Genomic DNA, 22,411 nt, shown 5'->3' on the forward strand with positions numbered 1-22,411 from the left:
AGGTGTTGTCATTGATTTCTCTGATTCCCTCACACCCCACATTCTAATCTATTAATTAACCTTGCAGGTTTTATCTTTCAAATATATCCCAAGTTCATCACTTCTTCCTACCTCTCATTACTACCCCCTAATCCAAGTCACATCAGCCCTCACTTGGATTACTTAAATAGACTCCTAAGTGTTCTTCCTGCTTCTACTCTTGTGTTTCATTTAAGTATGAATTCATCATACAGCAGCTAGAAGAATTTTCTAAAAATGTAAATAGGATCATATAACTTCTAATCTTTGCTCATAATCCCTTTTATGATCTGGTCTTTGCTTGCTCCATTCCATGTTGCCTTCTTGTTGTGACTCAAACATGATCATGGGGTTCCAAACTTGGAGCCTTTGCTTTTTTTTTTTTTTTTTTGAGATGGAGTCTCACTCTGTCGCCAGGCTGGAATGCAGTAGCACAATCTTGGCTCACTGCAACCAACCTCTGCCTCCTGGGTTCAAGCGATTCTCCTGCCTCAGCCTCCCGAGTTGCTGGGATTACAAGTGCCTGCCACCACGCCCAGCTAATTTTTGTATTTTTAGCAGAGACAAGGTTTCACCATGTTGGCCAGGCTGGTCTCGATCTCTTGACCTCGTGATCCGCCCGCCTCAGCCTCCCAAAGTGCTGGGATTACAGGCGTGGGCCACCACACCCAACCGAGCCTTTGCTCTTGATATAGCCTGTGCTTAGAATTTTTTTCTCCCAGAGAAAAGCAGTGATTATTCCTCACTTTATTCAGGTCTCTGTTCAAATGTCACCATCTCAGAGAAGAGCTCCCTGACAACTCTGTCTATAAATAGCCTCATGCCCCAGTCTGTCTTCAGCCCTTTAACCTACTGCTTTAGCTTTCTCATAGTATTCCTCACTACTCAACATTTTGTTTTATTTTTTTATTGCCAGTCTCTCCTTCCTAAAATGGACGTAAGGACAGGGACTTGAGACAGACTGTTATTAAGAACAAAGAAGGGCTGGGTGCAGTGGCTCAGGCCTGTAGTCCAGTACTTTGAGAGGCTGAGGTGAGTGGGTCGCTTGAGCCCAGGAGTTAGAGAACAGCCTGGGAAACATAGTGAAACCCTGTCTCTACAAAAAATACAAAAATTAGTGGGGTGTGGTGACACATGCCTGTGGTCCCAGCTACTTGGGAGGCTGAGGTGGAAGGATCATCTGAGCCCAAGAAGGTTGAGGCTGAAATGAGCTAAGATCACACCACTGCACTCCAGCACACAGTGAGACCCTATCTAAAAAAAAAAACCAAGAAGGACTAGAAACAGTGTTATTAAAAATAAAATAGGAATCTTTTTATTGAAAGAATAGTCTTGAGCAAAGGTAAAATATATAATGAACTGTGCCAAAATTTACCTATCTGGGCACAAATTTGACCTAAGAAGTTTTTTTTGTTTTCAAAAAATGGAAATGTACTATGACTGGTTATAACCAATTTTCTTTACAGATACCAGTTTATTAGTTTTAAATTTTTTCGTAAGTTTGTATTATACATTTTTAATCAAAATCTTAGTTTTGACAGTTTTTATATGCTTTTATCTTTACTATCTTAGATTATATTCATGCTGATTTCCTAAAATCCAAAAAAGGCAAATATAATCAACTATATGGGTAAGTCGAAGTATCTAATAAAACTGCTATGTATAATCATGTATTTCAGATCCTGAGTAACAGAATTGTTACTATAGATTAAAAGTGTGCCAGAGTTCTAAGAGACCTTTAACTAGTTCTAAGAGTTTTAAGGATCAGTTTTCTGAATTTAGAAAGAACTGCTCTGAAGCATCTGATCCTTAAAGTCATCAAGGAAAGAAGTAGCTAAATATTCTGTTAGAGAACAATTTACATAGTTTAATAATCCTATTTTGGGGGAGCCACTGTGTAAAAAAGGCTTGTACAAGAAATTGGAAAGTCACTTTATTATGATTTCCTTTATCTTTGTCTTCTGCTGTATAGTTAGGTAAGGCTTTGGAGTCAGGTCTGGGTTTGAATATTAGGTCTGTCTTGGGACAAGTAAAAACTATCCCTAGTCTCCAATTCCTTATCTTTAAATGGAAATAACAGTACCTACTTCAATGGACTACTGTGATAATTAAATAAGATAATGCAGCATTTGCTTGGTAAAATGCCTAAAATATATTAATTACTCAAATCAAAGATAATTCTTTCTCATGTTACCACATACGTTGAAGAAGACAATTTCAATTTAGGTTTATCAATGACATGGAATATTAGAGATTAGAACAACTCTTTATTTATTTATTTATTTTTGACACAGAGTGTAGCTCTGTCGCCCAGGCTGGAGTGCAATGGTATGGTCTCGGCTCACTGCAACCTCCACCTCCCGGGTTCAAGCAATTTTCGTGCCTCAGCCTCCTGAGTAGCTGGGATTACACGCATGTGCCACCATGCCAGGCTAATTTTTGTATTCTTAGTAGAGATGGGTTTTTGCCATATTGGCCAGGCTGGTCTCAAACTCCTGATCTCAGGTGATCTGCCTGCCTCAGCCTCTCAAAGTGCTGGGATTCAGGCGTGAGGCACTGTGCCCAGCCAAGGTTAGAGCAATTCTTTTTTTTTTTTTTTTGAGACGGAGTCTCACATTGTTGCCCAGGCTGTAATGCAATGGCTCAATCTTGGCTCACTACAACTGCCACCTCCCAGGTTCAAGCAATTCTCCTTGGCTCAGCCTCCCAAGTAGCTGGGATTATAGGTGCCCACCATCACACCCAACTAATTTTTTTGTATTTTTAGTACAGACGGGTTTCATTATGTTGGCCAGGCTGGTCTCCAACTCCTGACCTCGTGATCCGCCCACCTCGGCTTCCCAAAGTGCTGGGATTACAGGTGTAAGCCATGGCGTCCCGCCAGAGCAAGTCTTTATATTGACCCTTCTCGCCCAACCTATCACCTTTGAACTTTTATGGGGACATAAAGGTATTTTTATCAACAAAACCATTTTCTTTAGGAGAATTTAGGTTTACCATTACAAATCCATTGCATTTTAAAGCAACTGAAATAATATAAATATTATACTACTGTTATCATCATGTACAACAGTGAGAATATAGAAATATATAATTAAATTTCCAAGATGTTATACAAAAAATAATAATTTGCTGTTAATTCCATTTACAGATCAGAATATAAAAATTTAAAAACTCAAAATGCTTAAAACACTACCCAAAGAGAGATATATAAAAACAAATCTAGTGTTTCTATTTAATTTTTTTAGTTAACATTTGTCCATATCTCTAGAGCTATAGCATTTGGATCTTCAGAAAAATGAAATTAAAAATAATACAAAGATCATTAGAGCTATCAGACTCCAACTGGCAACTCTAATGATGGCAAAGGGCCATATGAAAGGAATGAATTTTTTTTGCATCTTTTCTCCTTTTGTGAGTGCTAAGGCAGAAGTCAGAGTTCTATTACTTCAATGGCTGCTGGAAAATATAACCACAATGTAAAGATTTGAGTAAATAAACATTCTAGTTCTCTTAGAGTCCAAAAATTAGGCTTTTGATCACATTTTAAAAGTATAATACAAGATATAAAATGAAAAAGTATTAATTCCTTTAAAGAATAAAAAACAGTAATGTAACAAAAACAGGCACAAATTAAAGAACTAAAGACAACTTTCTATTTGTTTTTGAGACAGGATCTCGCTTTGTCACCCAGGCTGGAGTGCAGTGGGGCAATCTCGACTCACTGGAGCTTCAATCTCCTGGGCTCCAGTGATTCTCCCACCTCAGCCCCCTCAAGTAACTGGGTCTACAGGCGTGTGCCACCACACCTGGCTAATTTTTTTTTTTGTATTTTTTGTAGAGATGGGGTTTTACCATGTTACCCAGGCTGGTCTCGAACCCCTGAGCTCTGGCAATCCGCCCATCTCAGTCTCCCAAAGTGCTGGGATCACAGGCCACTGCACCTGGCCAACTTTTAAAAAATTAACCAAAACATAAATTAAAATATACCTGTTTATCTTTTGAGGTTGCAAAGGAATAATGGGGATCACAGTATTGCACAGAGATTTGCAAAGAGGGCAAAGATATTCTCCACTTTCCAAGTCAAAAAGGTCAACATGAATGCGCTGCTGAGAGCTCAGCTGTACAGCTTCAAAATACCTGCAAAATTACAAAGACACAGGCCCATTCAGAACTACACATGCATCTCTACATGTGTATCTCTACTTGCTCTAATCCAAGTTTTAAAAATCTGGAATTTTTGCCCCAATAAACATCTTTAGAACATACATGCAAAAACACACAAGTTGTAATTATAGAAGAAACAGGTTGCCCATTATTTTGGGGACAAATTGGAAAATACATCAGAGCAGATATAAATTTAAAATAAGTTTATTGAATCATAACTCATCTCTTGCCTCAACAGCATGGTGATACAGCATGGACACTACTTTCCTCAGTTTCTAATGATGAACTGAAGTAGTGAGGGCTATCATGGAAAAATTATATATTGTAATCTAAAGCCAAATGGGTAAACTCTACACAAAAGATTTCTCAGGAATTACATTTTTGAAATTTTATATTTTCCAGAGATAGAACGAGAACTTCTTGTCCTATTCATCCTATTCTATTTCAAAGGTACTTTTCACAGCTGTATGTTTTGACAGAAATTAGATTTTTATAAAGATTACTTTTTTATTATTTATTTGTTGTGTTTATTAATTTTTTTGAGACGATGTTTCGCTCTTGTCTCCCAAGCTGGAGTGCAATGGCGCAATCTTGGCTCACTGGAACCTCTGCCTCCTGGGTTCAAGCGATTCTCCTGCCTCAGCCTCCGGAGGAGCTGGGATTAAAAGCATGTGCCACCACACTCAGCTAATTTTTGTATTTTTAGTAGAGACAGGGTTTTACCACGTTGGCCAGGCTGGTCTCAAACTCCTGACCTCAGGTGATCCTCCTGCCTCGGCCTCCCGAAGTGCTGAGATTACAGGTGTGAGCCACCACGCCCGGCCAATTATTACTTTTTTTACATGAATACTGATGAAGAGCAACTGATTAGTTTATGGAGAGCAAGCACAAAGGAACAGTGAAAATCTAAAGTTGGTAACTTTACACACCACTTTCCAACTTTGATAATAATAATTCATGCAAACAGAATTAGTAATTAAAACTGTTTCAATTATTCAAATAAGAAGAAAGGAAAGAAGACATGAGAAAACATGCCTTTTTGTGGCCTTGAGTGAACTTCAATGTTCCTAGTCTCTTTCAAGAACATGTCAGAAGGACAACTTACTTCTGCCAGCACACTGCGTGCATTACATGACCACAGCTTCCTGTATAAGTTCCATATGCCAAGTCTGGATCCATGAAAAGTGGGTCTAGGGCTTCTGGTACAAGGTATAAAAAGGAGGGAAAAAGAGAGACAGGTTATCAGGTCCAAAGTCTAATCACAAACTGTCTTAGGAATGTCCAAGCAAAGTGTCACAATATCATGATAGGAGGATATATAGTAACAAAAAGAGAAAAGTAATAGTAACAAAAGAGAAAAGCATAAAGGTAGCCTGTCAGATATGATTCTAAAATTAGTATGGATTAATAACTCTATCTTTGATTTACTTTTTAACCTTGAATATTGGGTTTAATCTGCATTATCTTGGTTATTTAAGTGATCTTCTATGTTTCCAAGATAATTTACTTTTTTAATTTTAATAGTAATTTGATAAATAATAATTTTAAGGGATACTTAGGGGAATTATAACCTCATTAAGAAAAGCACAGATTGGATCTCCCTCTTCCTCTCTCTCTCCCTCCTCTCCTCTCCCTCCTCTCCCTCCTCTCCCTCTCCCTGTCCCCGGTCTCCCTCTGATGCCACCAAAGTTGTGAAAGCCGAGGCTGGACTGTACTGCCGCCATCTCGGCTCACTGCAACCTCCCTGCCTGATTCTCCTGCCTCAGCCTGCAGAGTGCCTGGGATTGCAGGCACACGCCGCCACGCCTGACTGGTTTTTGCATTTTTTTGGTGGAGACGGGGTTTCGCCCTGTTGGCCGGGCTGGTCTCCAGCTCCTGACCGCGAGTGATCTGCCTGCCTCAGCCTCCCGAGGTGCCGGGATTGCAGACGGAGTCTCGCTCACTCAGTGCTCAATGGTGCCCAGGCTGGAGTGCAGTGGCGTGATCTCGGCTCGCTACAACCCCCTCCTCCCAGCCGCCTGCCTTGGCCTCCCAAAGTGCCGAGATTGCAGCCTCTGCCCAGCCGCCACCCCGTCTGGGAAGTGAGGAGCGGCTCTGCCTGGCCGCCCATCGTCTGGGATGTGAGGAGCCCCTCTGCCCAGCCGCCCAGTCTGGGAAGTGAGGAGCACCTCTTCCCAGCCGCCATCCCGTCTAGGAAGTGAGGAGTGTCTCTGCCCGGCACCCATCGTCTGAGATGTGGGGAGCACCTCTGCCACGCCGCCCCATCTGGGATGTGAGGAGTGCTTCTGCCCAGCCGCGACCCCGTCTGGGAACTGAGGAGCGTCTCTGCCCGACCGCCACCCCATCTGGGATGTGAGGAGTGTCTCTGCCCAGCCGCCCCGTCTGAGAAGTGAGGAGCCCCTCCGCCCGGCAGCCACCCCATCTGGGAAGTGAAGAGCCCCTCCGCCCAGCAGCCGCCCCATCTGGGAAGTGAGGAGCATCTCCGCCCGGCAGCCGCCCGGTCCAGGAGGTGGGGGGGCAGCCTCTGCCCGGCCAGCTGCCCCTTCCGGGAGGGAGGTGGGGGGCAGCCCCCGCCCGGCAGCCGCCCCATCCGGGAGGTGGGGGGCAGCCCCCGCCTGGCCAGCCGCCCCATCCGGGAGGGAGGTGAGGGGCAGCCCCCGCCCGGCCAGCCGCCCTGTCTTGGAGGGAGGTGGGGGGCAGCCCCCGCCCGGCCAGCCACCCCATCTGGGAGGGAGGTGGGGGGGCAGCCCCTGCCCAGCCAGCCGCTCCGTCTGGGAGGTGGGGGGGCGCCTCTGTCCAGCCACCCCGTCTGGGAAGTGAGGAGCCCCTCTGCCCGGCCACCACCCCGTCTGGGAGGTGTACCCAACAGCTCATTGAGAACGGGCCATGATGACGATGGCGGTTTTGTGGAATAGAAAAGGGGGAAATGTGGGGAAATGAGAGAGATCAGATTGTTACTGTGTCTGTGTAGAAAGAAGTAGACATGGGAGACTCCATTTTGTTCTGTACTAAGAAAAATTCTTCTGCCTTGGGATGCTGTTAATCTATAACCTTACCCCCAACCCCGTGCTCTCTGAAACATGTGCTGTGTCCACTCAGGGTTAAATGGATTAAGGGCGGGGCAAGATGTGCTTTGTTAAACAGATGCTTGAAGGCAGCATGCTCGTTAAGAGTCATCACCACTCCCTAATCTCAAGTACCCAGGGACACAAACACTGCGGAAGGCCGCAGGGTCCTCTGCCTAGGAAAACCAGAGACCCTTGTTCACATGTTTATCTGCTGACCTTCCCTCCACTATTGTCCTATGACCCTGCCAAATCCCCCTCTCGGAGAAACACCCAAGAATGATCAATAAATACTAAAAAAAAAAAAAAGAAAAAAAAAAAAAGAAAAGAAAAGCACAGATTGAGGATTTCAAATTCTGGTTTCATCACTTGTAACTCATGGCCATGGGTAAGTTACTTGACCTCTCTGTGCCTCAGGTCCTTCATCTATAAAATGGAACTAATAGTGATAACTAACTCATAGGGCTGTTGTGAGGATTAAGTAAGTAAATACACATAAAGCACTTAACAAGTGCCTGGCAATGTTAAGTTTTCAATAAATGCTAGTCTTTATTATCACTATTATTCCAAGGAGCTTGTTTTGTTTGTTTTGAGACAGGGTCTCACCCTGTTGTGGACCACAGGCTCATGCAACCATGCCTGGCTAATATGTTTGTAAAGACGAGGTTTCGCCATGTTGCCTAGGCTGGTCTCAAACTCCTGAGCTCAAGTGATCCACCCACACCGGCTTCCCAAAGTGCTGGGATTACAGGCGTGAGCCACCATGTCTGGCCTATTCCAAGGATATTTTAAAATAATAATGATGCTAAAGCAGCTAATTCCTGATGTAATAAGTGCAATAAATTATCTAATTAGCATTCCTGCCAAGAAAATGTTTAACATGATTCTAATCAGGAGGCAACTTAACAATCAGATAAATTCAGAATGTGACACATTATACAAAGCAAGTGGCCTGAATTCTTCAAAAAAGCTACTATCATAAAAAAAGGAGGGACTAATCTGGATTAAAATAGAGTAAAGGAAATATAGCCAAAGCAACACGTGTTTGTTTGGATCCTAAGTGAAAAAAAAAGTCTAGGAATTGAAGACATTTTGAGAACTGTTGGAGAAAAATTGATTTTATATTAGATAATATTCCTGGATTATTATTACTTTCTTAAATATGATAATGGTATGGTAGATATATAACCCTTATTTCCAAATGTTTTTCAAATAGTATTTTCTTTAATTACACAGGCATGAAAAGAAATGCACAAAAGGATATTTATTAAATAATACATACCTCCTGAGAGTTCTATGGGTTTTCCCCTGTGCTGGGTTAAGGCAGTAGATTTCTGGACACAGGCCGATAATACCATGGCATTATTTTCTATTTTCACCTCCTGTTCTTCTTGGCAAAGGATGCACGTCAGCACCTCCTTTTCAGTAACAGATGGACCCCGTTTAGGACCCAAAGCAATTCTAGAGTAGTCACTGACTGCTGGGGTGCTACCAAAAGAAATGATCAGAAATGAGGACACATGTTTTGGTCACTTGTCTTCATATTTTGGTAGATTTTAAGTAACTATAGGCAAGAAATATAAGAAAGATAATAAAAATAAAAATGATATTTAGCAATATTAAGTTAAAAGCTTCCCCCTTTCCTTTGTGGCTTTTATCAGTTATTTGCTTATTACAAAATACAAGTGTTGCTAAGTGCAAAAAACAGATGATAAAATGGAATGTATATTATAATTTTACTTAATTTACTATACCAATAAGCTGGGCTTTTTTTTTTTTCTGGATATAAAAGTAATACAGGCTTATTGAATAAATTTTGGAAAATCTATAATAGTATAAAAAAGTGTTATATTCCCACAACCTAGAGATACCTACTAGTAACCTTGTATATTTCCTTCTAGGTCTGCTTTCTATTTATAATATACTTCTTCATATAAATAAGATCACATTACACAGATCTGCATCCTGCTCTATTCACTTATAGTATCTTACATCATTAAAACTTCTTCAGAAACATTTTAAATGGTTGCACAGCTCTTACTGTATGTGCCATAATAGTTTTTATCCATTCCCTGTCATTAGGCATTTAGGTTTCTATTCTATTTTGGTCGCTATTCAAACTAAAAAACTTACACCTTAATGATTCAGCAATTCTTAGAATCTACTCTTACTGACTGGGCAAAACTCAAGATCTACTGAGGCGTACAATAATATTTAAATAATAGCAAATATTTGTAACATGCTGATTGTGAAGCTAGGCACTGTTTCAAATACTTTACATGTTTACTCAATCCTTACAATAATCCTATGAGGTAGGTGGTATTATTCTGTCTAGAGCAGCTCCTGCAAAGATGTCGCTGCAGCAGTGGAGGCGTGGCTGGGGCAACGTGCTCCATGTAGCCCTTGGGTTGGGAACAGGAGGGAACCCCACCCCTTCCAAGTTTGCAGGGCAGAAGCCCCGTGCTCCCGGGCACAGCTGCAACTGCCCAGCTCAGAAGTGCGTGTTCTGAGCCTCTCCGCACTCCCAATGCCCGCTCCGATTTTGGAGCAAAGCTGTGGCCAAGCCCAGGCGCTGCCGCGGCCCCGGCCAGGTGTGTGCACACTAGGGGCGGTGCTGACATGTCAGCCCCCTCCTGCCTTGGACCCCTCTGGTCTTTGGGTGCTGATAAGCATGGAAGGAAGGCCAAGAGGAAACAGGTGGCTCAGCATGGGCCTGCAGGTGCCCCTTGGCACAAACAGCCAGGGAGTTGTGGATGATATGTTGATGGCGGCAGGAGGCAGACAGGTTCCTAGGCAGAAAGGGATGGGTCCCCAAGCCAGGAATGGCCTGAAGCCTGGGGACCGGTATGTCAGTTACAGGTGGAATCCACAGCCTGGGGTGAGAATTTATGGTGCTTTCTCCGGGTCTGTCCATGAACCAGTCAGCACACACTTTCTCTCTTCTGAAGCCCCTAAAAACCCCAGACTCAGCCAGACTCACATGGAGACTACAGCTGCAGGAAGGAGCTACCCAATTCAAGTCTCCTGACTTGCTGGGATGACCTGCCTGTGGAAAGGAGATACCCACTCTGGATCTCCTCTCCACTGAGTGCTGGACACTTGTTGGGATGACCTGCCTGCAGAAAGAGCTACCCACTTTGGGTCCCTAGAGAGCTGTTCTGTTGCTTAATAAAGCTCTCCACCTTGCTCACCCTCCAGTTGTCCGTGTACCTCATTCTTCCTGGATGCAGGACAAGAACTCGGGAACCACCAAATGGCAGGACTGAAAGAGCTAGTAACATAAACAGGGCTGAAATGCCCACACCCAAAGCTTGCCACGTTGCAGGTGACAAGAAGGAGAGAAGAGCTGTGGTCCTTTGGGGAGCCCACACCTAGGGGCTCCCTGAGCCAGGGCTGTGACACCCTCTTTGGGGCTTCACAGTTTCTGGCATCTCTGAGCTGCCAGGTGCCACCATATTCCCCTTGTCCAGACAAGAGTCCCTGCAGCGGAACCTGCTGGTGCATATGATCCAGCTGCAGGCTTGCACAGAGCTGGCCCCTGTCCCTGTGCCTAGAGCTCCCTGCCCTGCACAGCAGCTGGCGTGCCTGGCTGTGTGCAGTGGCCAGACCCTGCAGGTGCCCGCTTATGCACCCCTGGTCACTCCACACCTGGCTTGCCCTTGGCAGGCATGGGATCCAGGCTGGTAGTGTCAGTCAAGTGCAGCCTGCCAGGCCAAGTGGGCAGGATGAGCCCAGAAAGACCAAGCAAAATTCTGGCAAAGGTGCCACTGGCCACAGAGGTTTCTGGCTGGAAAAGCAACACCCTAAGGATCCTGTGATACTTCCACTTTTCAGATGAAGAAACTGAGGCCTAGTGACAACAAAAGACTCAACCCAATGATTCATCAATAGTATGTAGTAGAGCCAGGATTTAATCCAGGTAATCTAGGCTCACAGTCCATGTTCTGAACTACTATACAATGTTGTCTCTGTCTGTGCAAGAAGCTCCCTGAACTATAGTATATCATTGAACAATAAATAAATATTAATCATCATATATAGATGAACTTACCTAACATAGAATACTCTGCAGCTTTTTTGTTTTATTTTGTTTGAGACAGAGTCTTGCACTGTTGCCGGGCTGGAGTGCAGTGGCGCGATCTCGGCTCACTGCAATCTCTGCCTCCCAGGTTCAAGTGATTCTCCTTGCCTCGGCCTCTGAAGTAGCTGGGATTACAGGCACCTGCCACCATGCCCAGCTAATTTTTTTGTATTTTTAGTAGAGACGGAGTTTCACTATGTTGGCCAGGCTGGTCTCAAACTCCTGACCTCGTGATCTGCCTGCCTTGGCCTCCCAAAGTGCTGGGATTACAGGCGTAAGCCACTGCGCCCGCCCTACTCTGCAGTTTTTAAAAGGTGGGACTCACTAAGTGTGGTACCACCTCCTAGGAGGCATCTAGCAATAAATTATGAAAGGTTTACTTATTGATTGTCACAAGGTTCTAGTGGGCGCAGGATGCAGTCCCACAATTCACAGGACAGTACTACATGAAAAAAAAAAAAGCTGCCTAAATGCCAAGACTGAAAAACGCTGAGCTTGTTTTGTATATAAGAACATACATAGATTTCCAAGACATACTACAGAGTGAAAATGGGAAGTTGTAGAGTGATATGGACATAATACTATCAATGCAAATAAAACCAAAGGCTGAATGACACGCTATAATTTCTGTGGCTACATATATTTGTATTAATAACATAGGAAAAATTCTGGCAAGATACACATAAAACTTATAACCAGAGAACCTCTGAGGAGGAGCAGAAAGAAGTCCAGGATTTGGGCTGGTGCTCAAATGGAACTTTAGCTTTATCTCTGACATTCAGTTTTCAAGAGGAAATATAACTATGTAATTTGGCTGGGCACACTAGCTCACGCCTTGTAATCCCAGCACTCTGGGAGGCTGAAGTGGGAAGATCACTTGAGGCCAGGAGTTCGAGACCAGCCTGGCCAAAATGGTGAAACCCCATCTCTACTAAAAATACAAAAAAAAAAAAAAAAAAAAAAATAGCCAGGTGTGGTGGTGGGAGCCTGTAATCCCAGCTACTCAGGAGGTGGAGAAGGGAGAATCGCTTGAACCCAGGAGGCGGAGGTTGCAGTGAGCCGAGATCACGCCACTGTACTCCAGTCTAGGCGACAAAGCAAGACTCCATCTCAAGTGTGTGTGTGTAACACTATGTAATTAAAATTTTAGCTAGGTGTGGTGACACGCCCATAGTCCCAGCTACTCAGGAGGGTAAGGCAGGAGGATCACTTGAGCCCAGGAGTTTGAGGCTGTAGTGTGTCATAATTATGCCTGTGAAGAGCCACTGCATTCTAGCCTGGGCAACATAGTGAGACCCCATCTCAAAAAAAAAAAACTGGTTAAAAAAATATGAGAGAATATATTTGAGACTTTGGAATAGGAAAAGCTTTCTTAAACAAGATATTAATACAAAAAGTTAAAACTCTAAAAGACTGATAAATTTGTCTTTATCAACACTGCACACTTCTCTATGGCTAAACCCCATAATTAATGTTAAAGAAACAGGGACAAAATATGGTAAACATATGTAACAAAGCTAAGTATTAATAATTTTAAGACTTATATAAGTCAGTAAGACAAGAGGAAAGCACCCAATAGAGATGGGCAAAGAATAATAATAGGCAATTCCCAGAGGATAAAATGTAAAAGGTCAGTGAATAATCATATGAGAAGCTGCTCAACCTAGTACTAAATAGCAATTGGGGAAATTCAGCCAGATTGGCACAAATCTGTAATTTTAATAATATCACATTTTCAAGTACTGAAAATAGTTAAGTATTAGTGAGAACAAAGTAAATTAGGCACGTATATACACTATCAGGAGCAGAAACTAGTAAAACCACTCTGGATGGTAATGTGGCCACATCTATAAAAATTTTAACCCAGCCCTTTCACTTACTGGACTCCTTGACTAAGTACTTGCAGAGTTCCACAAGGAGACACATACAAAAAGATTCTCACGAACAGTTCTAAGGAAAAATTAGAAGCAACCTAAATGTCTAAAGTCAGATGAATAAACTATTATATAACCACATCAGAGACCACTATGCAGCAGTCATAAACAATGATGTAGAATCTACATTATAGGCCGGGCACAGTGGCTCACGCCTGTAATCCCAGCGCTTTGGGAGGCCGAGGTGGGCGGATCATGAGGTCAGGAGATCAAGACCATCCTGGCTAACACAGTGAAACCCCCTCTCTACTAAAAATACAAAAAAATTAGCCAGGCGTGGTGGCGGGCGCCTGTAGTCCCAGTTACTCGGGAGGCTGAGGCAGGAGAATGGCGTGAACCCTGGAGGTGGAGCTTGCAGTGAGCCGAGACCGTGCCACTGCACTCCAGCCTGGGCGACAGAGTGAGATTCCGTCTCAAAAAAAAAAAAAAAGAATCTACATTATAGAGTGACATGTACTGATATCAAAAGATTCCTAAGACACTGAAATAGCAAGCTGCAGACAAAATGTATGGTTAAAAAAGAAAAACCACTAGAAAACACGAAACAAGCCTCACTATTTCTTCATGTATACATGTTTATAAATGCATAGAAAGAGGTCTAAGAACAATGATAATTTGTAATCATGGTTATGTGTGGAGAAAGATCAGTAATGCAGAGATGGTCAAAGGGGGACTTCCTGCATTATTTAAATTGCTTTCAATAAGAACACATTCAAAAATCACATGTCCAATTAATCAAGCAATAAAAATAAATAATGAAAGCATTAAGGCCATAAATGAACTCTGAGTACACCTTTGCTTACACCTTCTTATTTTATTGTCAGTAGTTTCTTTCTCACTATTTCTAAATAGTATGTTGTTAATACATAATATCTAGAGGTGGGACTTTGGCTTGTCATTTAAAATTTCCAGTTTTATTACCCTATAGTCAGCCAAGGAAAGCATACCTTCATATCTTTTTATTTTTAATCACTAATATAATCATTATTCTTTATGGTCCTTGTTAGCATACTCAGCTTCAAGATTAAAGATACATATCAGATAGGATGTATTGTGCCTACTAGTATTCCAAAACCAAAATTTTCTAAAAGTATCCACAAGATTTTTTTTTTGAGATGGAGTCTCACTCTGTTGCCCAAGCTGGAGTGCAGTGGCACAATCTCTGCTCACTACAACCCCTGGCTCCCAAGTTCAGGTGATTCTCGTGCCTCAGCCTCCTGAGTAGCTGGGACTAAATGCACGCGTCACCACACCCGGCTAATTTTTGTATTTTTAGTAGAGACGGGGTTTTGCCTGTTGGCCAGGCTGGTCTCGAACTCCTGACCTCAGATGATCCACCTGCCTCGGCCTCCCAAAGTGCTGGGATTACAGAGGTTAGCCACTGCTCACAGCCCTCAACACATATTGTTTTAAACAGCAGTGAAAGCTTGTCTTTAAAAAGGGCCAAAGTGGGTACTTTCAATATTTTAAATTTCTTGGAATGCTGTTCAAAGTAACATTATGTCTCCTCCCTTTTATCACTGTATAATAGCCCACAAAGCACAGCTCAGAAAATTAACCAATTTCTCTAAGAGCATACCACAGTCAGAACTCAGAAAACCAGATTTACTGATTCCAATTCCAAGGTGCTATCCATACCTGTAGTTATAGGCAATGTCTTTCTTCTAAGAAAAAAAGAAAAACTTGTATAAGCCACCTTTTTCAGGCAAAGAATTTGTTTCCAATAATGTAATAACTGCAGTCATTTTTATTAGAAATAATAATGTGAAATAAGTGAACTGATGTGTAAATGTGTACCTAAAAGTGCTAATGCACACAAAATAACGGGTTGGTTATCTTTTTGTGCATAAAGGTTCCTAACCTAACTTTACTGCACACTCAATGCATTTATCAGTATAAAATTATATTCAATAAGTACCATAGAGTCTTCACTCTGACCTTTCTAGAATGAAAATAGTTGAATTTCTCTTGCCATAAAATCCATTTTGGAAAAGCAAAATTTAAAGTGACTATTTAACTTTTCCTCCAAAAATTGAGTTGGCCTCTCCTCCTCCCCTTCCCCCTCCCCCTCCCCACGGTCTCCCTCTCCCTCTCTTTCCATGGTCTCCCTCTGATGCCGAGCTGAAGCTGGACTGTACTGCTGCCATCTCGGCTCACTGCAACCTCCCCGCCTGATTCTCCTGCCTCAGCCTGCAGAGTGCCTGCGATTGCAGGTGCACGCTGCCACGCCTGACTGGTTTTCGTATTTTTTTGGTGGAGACAGGGTTTCGCTGTGTTGGCCGGGCTGGTCTCCAGCTCCTAACCGCGAGTGATCCGCCAGCCTCGGCCTCCCGAGGTGCCGGGATTGCAGACGGAGTCTCGCTCACTCAGTGCTCAATGGTGCCCAGGCTGGAGTGCAGTGGCGTGATCTCGGCTTGCTACAACCTCCACCTCCCAGCCGCCTGCCTTGGCCTCCCAAAGTGCCGAGATTGCAGCCTCTGCCCAGCCGCCACCCCGTCTGGGAAGTGAGGAGCGTCTCTGCCTGGCCGCGCATCGTCTGGGATGTGAGGAGCCCCTCTGCCTGGCTGCCCAGTCTGGAAAGTGAGGAGCATCTCTGCCCGGCCGCCATCCCATCTAGGAAGTGAGGAGCGCCTCTTCCCGGCTGCCATCCCATCTAGGAAGTGAGGAGCGTCTCTGCCGGGCCACCCATCGTCTGAGATGTGGGGAGCGCCTCTGCCCCACCGCCCCGTCTGGGATGTGAGTGCCTCTGCCCGGCCGCGACCCCGTCTGGGAGGTGAGGAGCGTCTCTGCCCAGCCGCCCCGTCTGAGAAGTGAGGAGACCCTCCGCCTGGCAGCCGCCCCTTCTAAGAAGTGAGGAGCCCCTCCGCCCAGCAGCCACCCCATCTGAGAAGTGAGGAGCCCCTCCGCCCGGCAGCCACCCCGTCTGGGAAGTGAGGACCGTCTCCGCCCGGCAGCCACCCCGTCCGGGAGGGAGGTGGGGGGTCAGCCCCTGCCCGGCCAGCCGCCCCGTCCGGGAGGGAGGTGGGGGTCAGCCCCCGCCCGGCCAGCCGCCCCGTCCCAGAGGGAGGTGGGGGGTCAGCCCCCGCCCGGCCAGCCACCCCGTCCGGGAGGGAGGTGTGGGTCAGCCCCCGCCCGGCCAGCTGCCCTGTCAGGGAGGGAGGTGGGGGGTCAGCCCCCGCCCGGCCAGACGCCCCGACTGGGAGGGAGGTTGGGGGTCAGCCCCCGCCCGGCCAGCCACCCCGTCCGGGAGGTGGGGGGCACCTCGGCCCGGCCGCCCCTACTGGGAAGTGAGGAGCCCCTCTGCCCGGCCACCACCCCGTCTGGGAGGTGTACCCAACAGCTCATTGAGAACGGGCCATGATGATAATGGTGGTTTTGTGGAACAGAAAAGGGGGAAAGGTGGGGAAAAGATTGAGAAATCGGATGGTTGCTGTGTCTGTGTAGAAAGAAGTAGACATGGGAGACTTTTCATTTTGTTCTGTACTAAGAAAAATTCTTCTGCCTTGGGATCCTGTTGATCTATGACCTTACCCCCAACCCTGTGCTCTCTGAAACATGTGCTGTGTCCACTCAGGGTTAAATGGATTAAGGGCGGTGCAAGATGTGCTTTGTTAAACAGATGCTTGAAGGCAGCATGCTCGTTAAGAGTCATCACCACTCCCTAATCTCAAGTACCCAGGGTCACAAACACTGCGGAAGGCCGCAGGGTCCTCTGCCTAGGAAAACCAAAGACCTTTGTTCACTTGTTTATCTGCTGACCTTCCCTCCACTATTGTCCTATGACCCTGCCAAATCCCCCTCTCGGAGAAACACCCAAGAATGATCAATTTAAAAAAAAAAAATTGAGTTGGTAATTTTTGGTTTGCTTTATTTTACCTCTCTTCCTCCATAATGGAATCTTCTTTCCCAGGCATTTCTGATGTATTGTCATACATGAGTTTATGAGTTTCAATGAAGTTTTTCTGTAAGGCAGACATCTGAGCCATGATCTTCTGGCGATGTAGCCTAGCAGCTTCAGCTTTTCTTTTTCGTTCTGCTTTTTCTTTATCATGAGTAATCTGGGTATTAAGAAATGACAAATTTAGGTAAGATCCACTGTTAAACATTTATATACGCTGTTTGGATGGCAAAATTCCTTAGAATAAGATTCTGAAACCCTGATTACCCCTTACATCCTGGATTCAGTTTAATGTTTCAAAATTAGCATTACAGGCTGCATGACATCATACAACTAATTATTCCTTTAGTTATTTAAATAATTTACTGTAAAAAGCTAAGAACCTTAAATATCCAATTAACTGCCTTTTATACTCAATGCAGGTACCTTAAGAAATAAAATTAGATAAAACAATTTCAAAATCATTTGTCAATCACTTAATCACTGACAATTTAAACAATCTTGATTTCTAACAGTTACTTCTAAATGCACTGTGAAAAATGAGAAATTTAACAATTTTTTTAACTTTAACAATATTACTGAGATACATTTGGTGCATGTTAATTTTCTATTCAAATTTACATCGTGTGTTTTACTGAACATGTAATAACCACAAATAATATTATTCTAATAATACAAATTTTAGAATCATCAAAACCTGATTCACTATATTATAGCAATAACACAAATATTATTGCATTTCATTGAATCTAAGATATACCATTATCTTATATTTCTCTAAAACATGCTGTTGATGAAAGTCATTTATTGTGAGACATATCCCAATTTAAGTCACTAAAATATATTAAAAGTTAATAAAATATGGTATTTTGGTTTTTTGTTTTTGGGATGGAATCTTGCTCTGTCACCCTGGCTGGAATGCAGTAGCGTGATTTTGGCTCACTGCAACCTCCGCCTCCTGGGTTCAAGTGATTTTCGTGCCTCAGCCTCCCGAGTAGCTGGGACTACATGAGCAAGCCACCACATTGGGCTAATTTTTGTATTTTTACTAGAGACGTGGTTTGGCCATGTTGGCCAGGCTGGTCTTGAACTCCCGACCTCAAGTGATCTACCCACCTCCGCCTCTCAAAGAGCTGGGATTTCTAACAGAGCTCTACGATATATCAATTTCTCCTGTTTTTGCAAAATACAAAAATTATACTGAGTTGTCACGTACCATTAATCTCCACAATATAGAAGCATAATGAATAAAAGATGGACAGATCTCATATACTTCACAATCAACAGGTTTCTCCTAACAAAAAAGCAGTAGCTCCCTTATACCAGTAAAGTTCAAAGACAGAGATGAATGTCACCATTACTACAGTGTTATTACAGTGTCATACCTCATCATTCTTAATAGATTCCGATCCTGATGTGGTTGCTACAATTAAACAAGATTTTTCTCTTAATCGCTTCACTGTGTCAAACATCTGTGAAAAACAGATGAAACGTTAAAAGAGTTAGTTAGACTGTTAGACCGACCAGGAACAGAAACATTCACTAATCTGATTTTGGCATCATATCTCCAAATGTCTTTCACTTAAACTATTTCAATATATGAAGAAAAAAAGTGACTCTGACTGTGACAAACGCCTCCCCTGGTCAATGAGCAATCCAGCTGAGGAGGAGGCCACTGGTAGCAGAATCAGCAGATTCAGTAGGCTGGGGGCATGCCTCTGTTAGCTTTCAAGAGATTTGCCAGGAAACAAAAATTTTTTTAATTTGAAATAATATTTTTGTGCAAAAACACATAAAAACAAAGACACAAAATGGTGACTGCTCTTTGGGAGGCGGAGGCGGGTAATCTCAGCACTTTGGGAGGCCAAGGCAGGTGGATCACCTGAGGTCAGGAGTTAGAGATCAGCCTGGCCAACATAGCAAAATCCTGTCTTTACTAAAAATACAAAAATTAGCTGGGCGTGGTGACCCATGCCTGTGATGCCAGCTACTTGGGAGGCTGAGGCAGGAGAATCGCTTGAACCTGGGAAGTGAAGGTTGCAGTGAGCTGAGATTGTGCCACTGCACTCCAGCCTGGGTGACAGAGCGAGACCCTGTCTCAAAAAAAAAAAAAAGATACAAAATGGAAAGTAAAATCCTCCTCTCCCTGATTACAACACCTCTATCAGAATATATAATTTTTATATTTACATCTATTTTCATAAAAAGAGATCTTACCATACATACTGTTTCACACATCCTCTTTTCACTTAATCATTTATCTTCGGAGACATTTCGACATTTCTTTTTTGGTTTGTTGTTTTTTTTTTTTTTAACAGGGTCTTGCTCTGTCGCCCAGGCTTGAGCGCAGTGGTGCAATCTTGGCTCACTGCAAGCTACGCCTCTTGGGTACATGCCATTCTCCTGCCTCAGCCTCCTGAATAGCTAGGACTACAGGTGCCCGCCATAACGCCCGGCTAATTTTTGTATTTTTAGTAGAGACGGGGTTTCACCATGTTAGCCAGGATGGTCTCGATCTCCTGACCTCATGATCCGCCCACCTCAGCCTCCCAAAGTGCTGGGACTACAGGCATGAGCCATCGCGCCCAGCTATCCTCGGAGACATTTCCACAACAGCTTATACAGAACTGCCTCATTCTTATTAACAAAGCTCATGGTTTCAGCATGAATGCATTCATTAATTCATTAATTCATTCATTCGACAGAGTTTCAGTCTGTCGTCCAGGCTGGAGTGCAATGGCACAATCTTGGCTCACTGCAACCTGTCTCCTGGGCTCATGCCATCTTCTCACCTCAGCCTCTCAAGTAGCTGGGACTAGAGGCGCACACCACCATACCCTTGACTAATTTTTGTATTTTTTGTAGAGATGGAGTTTTTGCCACATTGTCCAGGCTGGTCTTGAACTTCTGGGCTCAAGCAAGCCACCCACCTTAGCTTCCCAAAGTGCTGGAACTATAGGTGTGAGTCACTGTGCCCAGTAAAATTTATTTATATTTTGAAAGAACCTTGGTCTCATGAGGAAAAATTTCCCACAATGAACACCTACAACATAGCTTTAAATCAACCATCTGGATAGAGTATCTAATGTTTTTAACAGCAGATACATGTGCTTTTCAGATATTTTGATAATAAAATTTAGTATTCTAATTGAAAATGAATTTTCAGGACTAGATCTGCAATTCATAACACCATCTCTATGGGATATGAATGCTGAACTAAATGGTACCTCGATTTACTTTCTTAATAGTTACCTACTTTCGTTTGATTTTATAATCTTAAAATAATATTGGCTAGTTTAACACAAATACTACATATTCATAAAATCTACTTCAAGAAGAATTTTAATAATATCACTATCTTTTTTTTTTTGAGACGGAGTCTCGCTTTGTCGCCCACGCTGGAGTGCAGTGGTGTTATCTCGGCTCACTGCAAGCTCCACCTCCCGGGTTCAAGCCATTCTCCTGCCTCAGCCTCCTGAGTAGCTGGGACTACAGGTACCCGCCACCACACCTGGCTAATGTTTTTTGTATTTTTAGTAGAGACGGGGTTTCACCATGTTAGCCAGGATGGTCTCGATCTCCTGACCTCGTGACCCCGCCGCCTCAGTCTCCCAAAGTGCTGGGATTACAGGCGTGAGCCACCACGCCAGGCCAATAATGATATTACATCATGCTTAAGGACTGTTTCTAATAAAATGGTAAGAAGAGCTGCCCTCTTAAAAGTATAAATCAGTACCAAGATTTCCAATTGATAAGAATGTGAAAAATAACTACTTTATATATTCTGATTATCAAAACAATACTTACCTAAAAACATCAGAATATCTTAATGAATGCAATGAGTGCAGAAGCTCCATAATCCTGGCTTCAGGTTTTTTTTTTTTTTTTTTTGAGACAGAGTTTCACTCTGTCGCCCAGGCTGGAGTGCAGTGGTGCGATCTCGGCTCACTGCAACCTCCGCCCTCAGAGTTCAGGCGATTCTCCTGCCTCAGCCTCCTGAGTAGCTGGGATTACAGGCGCCTGCCACCACGCCTGCCACCACGCCCAGCTAATTTTTTTTTTTTTTTTGTATTTTTAGTAGAGACAGGGTTTCACCATCTTGGCCAGGCTGGTCTTGAACTACTGATCTTGTGATCCACCCGCCTCCGCCTCCCAAAGTGCTGGGATTACAGGCGTGAGCCACCGTGCCTGGCCGGTTTTATGTTTCTATGTGGAGGTTTTCCATTAAAGTAACATTCCTGGCCTCTCTCTCCCCTGCTTATTTAATTCACTCGTCTCCAAAGGCAATGCTATCTACTCAATAGCTCAAGCACCAAATCCAGGAGTCATCTTTGATTTCCTTTTTTCTGAGACAGACTCTTGTTCTGTTACCCAGGCTGGAGTGCAGTGGTGCGATCTTGGCTCACCGCAATCTCCACCTCCCTGGTTCAAGCAATTCTCCTGCCTCAGCCTCCCAAGTAGCTAGGACTACAGGTGTGCCCCACCATGCCTGGCTAATTTTTTGTATTTTTAGCAGAGATGAGGTTTCACCATGTTAGCCAGACTGGTCTCGAACTCCTGACCTCAGGTGATCTGCCTGCCTTGGCCTCCCAAAGTGCTGGGATTACAGGTGCTAGCCACCATGCCCAGCCTCATCTTTGATTTATTTCCTTCATCTCTCCCATCAGACTGATGAGCAAGTACTATAGATTTTATCTTCATACACCTTCGACATGCACCTTAATCAGTTCAGATTCTTACTATCTGCATCTTAGCCTAGGTCATGCTTATTTCATATCAAGATTACTGCAACAGTCTCCTAACAGTTTCCTTACTTGTATGCCTATCCCCCATAATCCATTTACTCCACAGCAGCCAATACCATCTTGTACAAATATAGATTAGGTCACTTAAAATCCTCCAATATTTTCCCATTGTCCTAAAAAATTATCACTTTATGCTGACTTATAAGGACCTACAAGATCCGGCCCCTGGCCACCCCTCTGATCTCATTGCCCACTTTTCCATCCCTCACCCATTATGTTCCAGCCATACTGACCTTCTTTCTGGCCACCACAGAGCTTTTGCACTGCTGTTCCCTCTTCCTGGAGTACTCTTCCAGACTCTTCTAAGACTGACTCCATGTCATTAAGGTCTTAGCTCTAATGTCGTGTTTTGAGAGAGGCCTTCCCTAATTACCCAAAGTAACCCCTTACTCATCTATTGAATTACCCTGATATTTTTGTTTATTTATTTGTTTAATGTCTGT

At 43.7% G+C, this 22,411-nt stretch overlaps 1 protein-coding gene across 1 annotated transcript in view, besides 1 other annotated feature; it reads right to left on the reverse strand.

The window, feature by feature from the left end:
* Positions 1 to 22,411, reverse strand: part of UBR1 (ubiquitin protein ligase E3 component n-recognin 1) — a 163,142-nt gene that overhangs the window by 55,650 nt on the left and 85,081 nt on the right. The window contains exons 28-32 of the mRNA NM_174916.3: positions 18,549 to 18,635; positions 17,142 to 17,323; positions 8,533 to 8,738; positions 5,291 to 5,384; positions 4,009 to 4,158 (exon numbers count right to left, since the gene is read on the reverse strand). Of these exons, the coding sequence (NP_777576.1) occupies positions 4,009 to 4,158; positions 5,291 to 5,384; positions 8,533 to 8,738; positions 17,142 to 17,323; positions 18,549 to 18,635 (719 nt within the window). The remainder of the gene's footprint in view (positions 1 to 4,008; positions 4,159 to 5,290; positions 5,385 to 8,532; positions 8,739 to 17,141; positions 17,324 to 18,548; positions 18,636 to 22,411) is intronic.
* Positions 16,272 to 17,151: an enhancer, noted in NCBI's record as "NANOG-H3K27ac hESC enhancer chr15:43307016-43307895 (GRCh37/hg19 assembly coordinates)". NCBI's record gives its function as "activates a minimal SCP1, AML or CMV promoter by ChIP-STARR-seq in naive H9 embryonic stem cells {active_cell/tissue: H9 hESC(naive)}" and the evidence as "EXISTENCE:reporter gene assay evidence [ECO:0000049][PMID:30033119]".

This window comes from Homo sapiens, chromosome 15 (assembly GCF_000001405.40).
Source record: "Homo sapiens chromosome 15, GRCh38.p14 Primary Assembly".
Classification (NCBI taxonomy): Eukaryota; Metazoa; Chordata; class Mammalia; order Primates; family Hominidae; genus Homo; species Homo sapiens.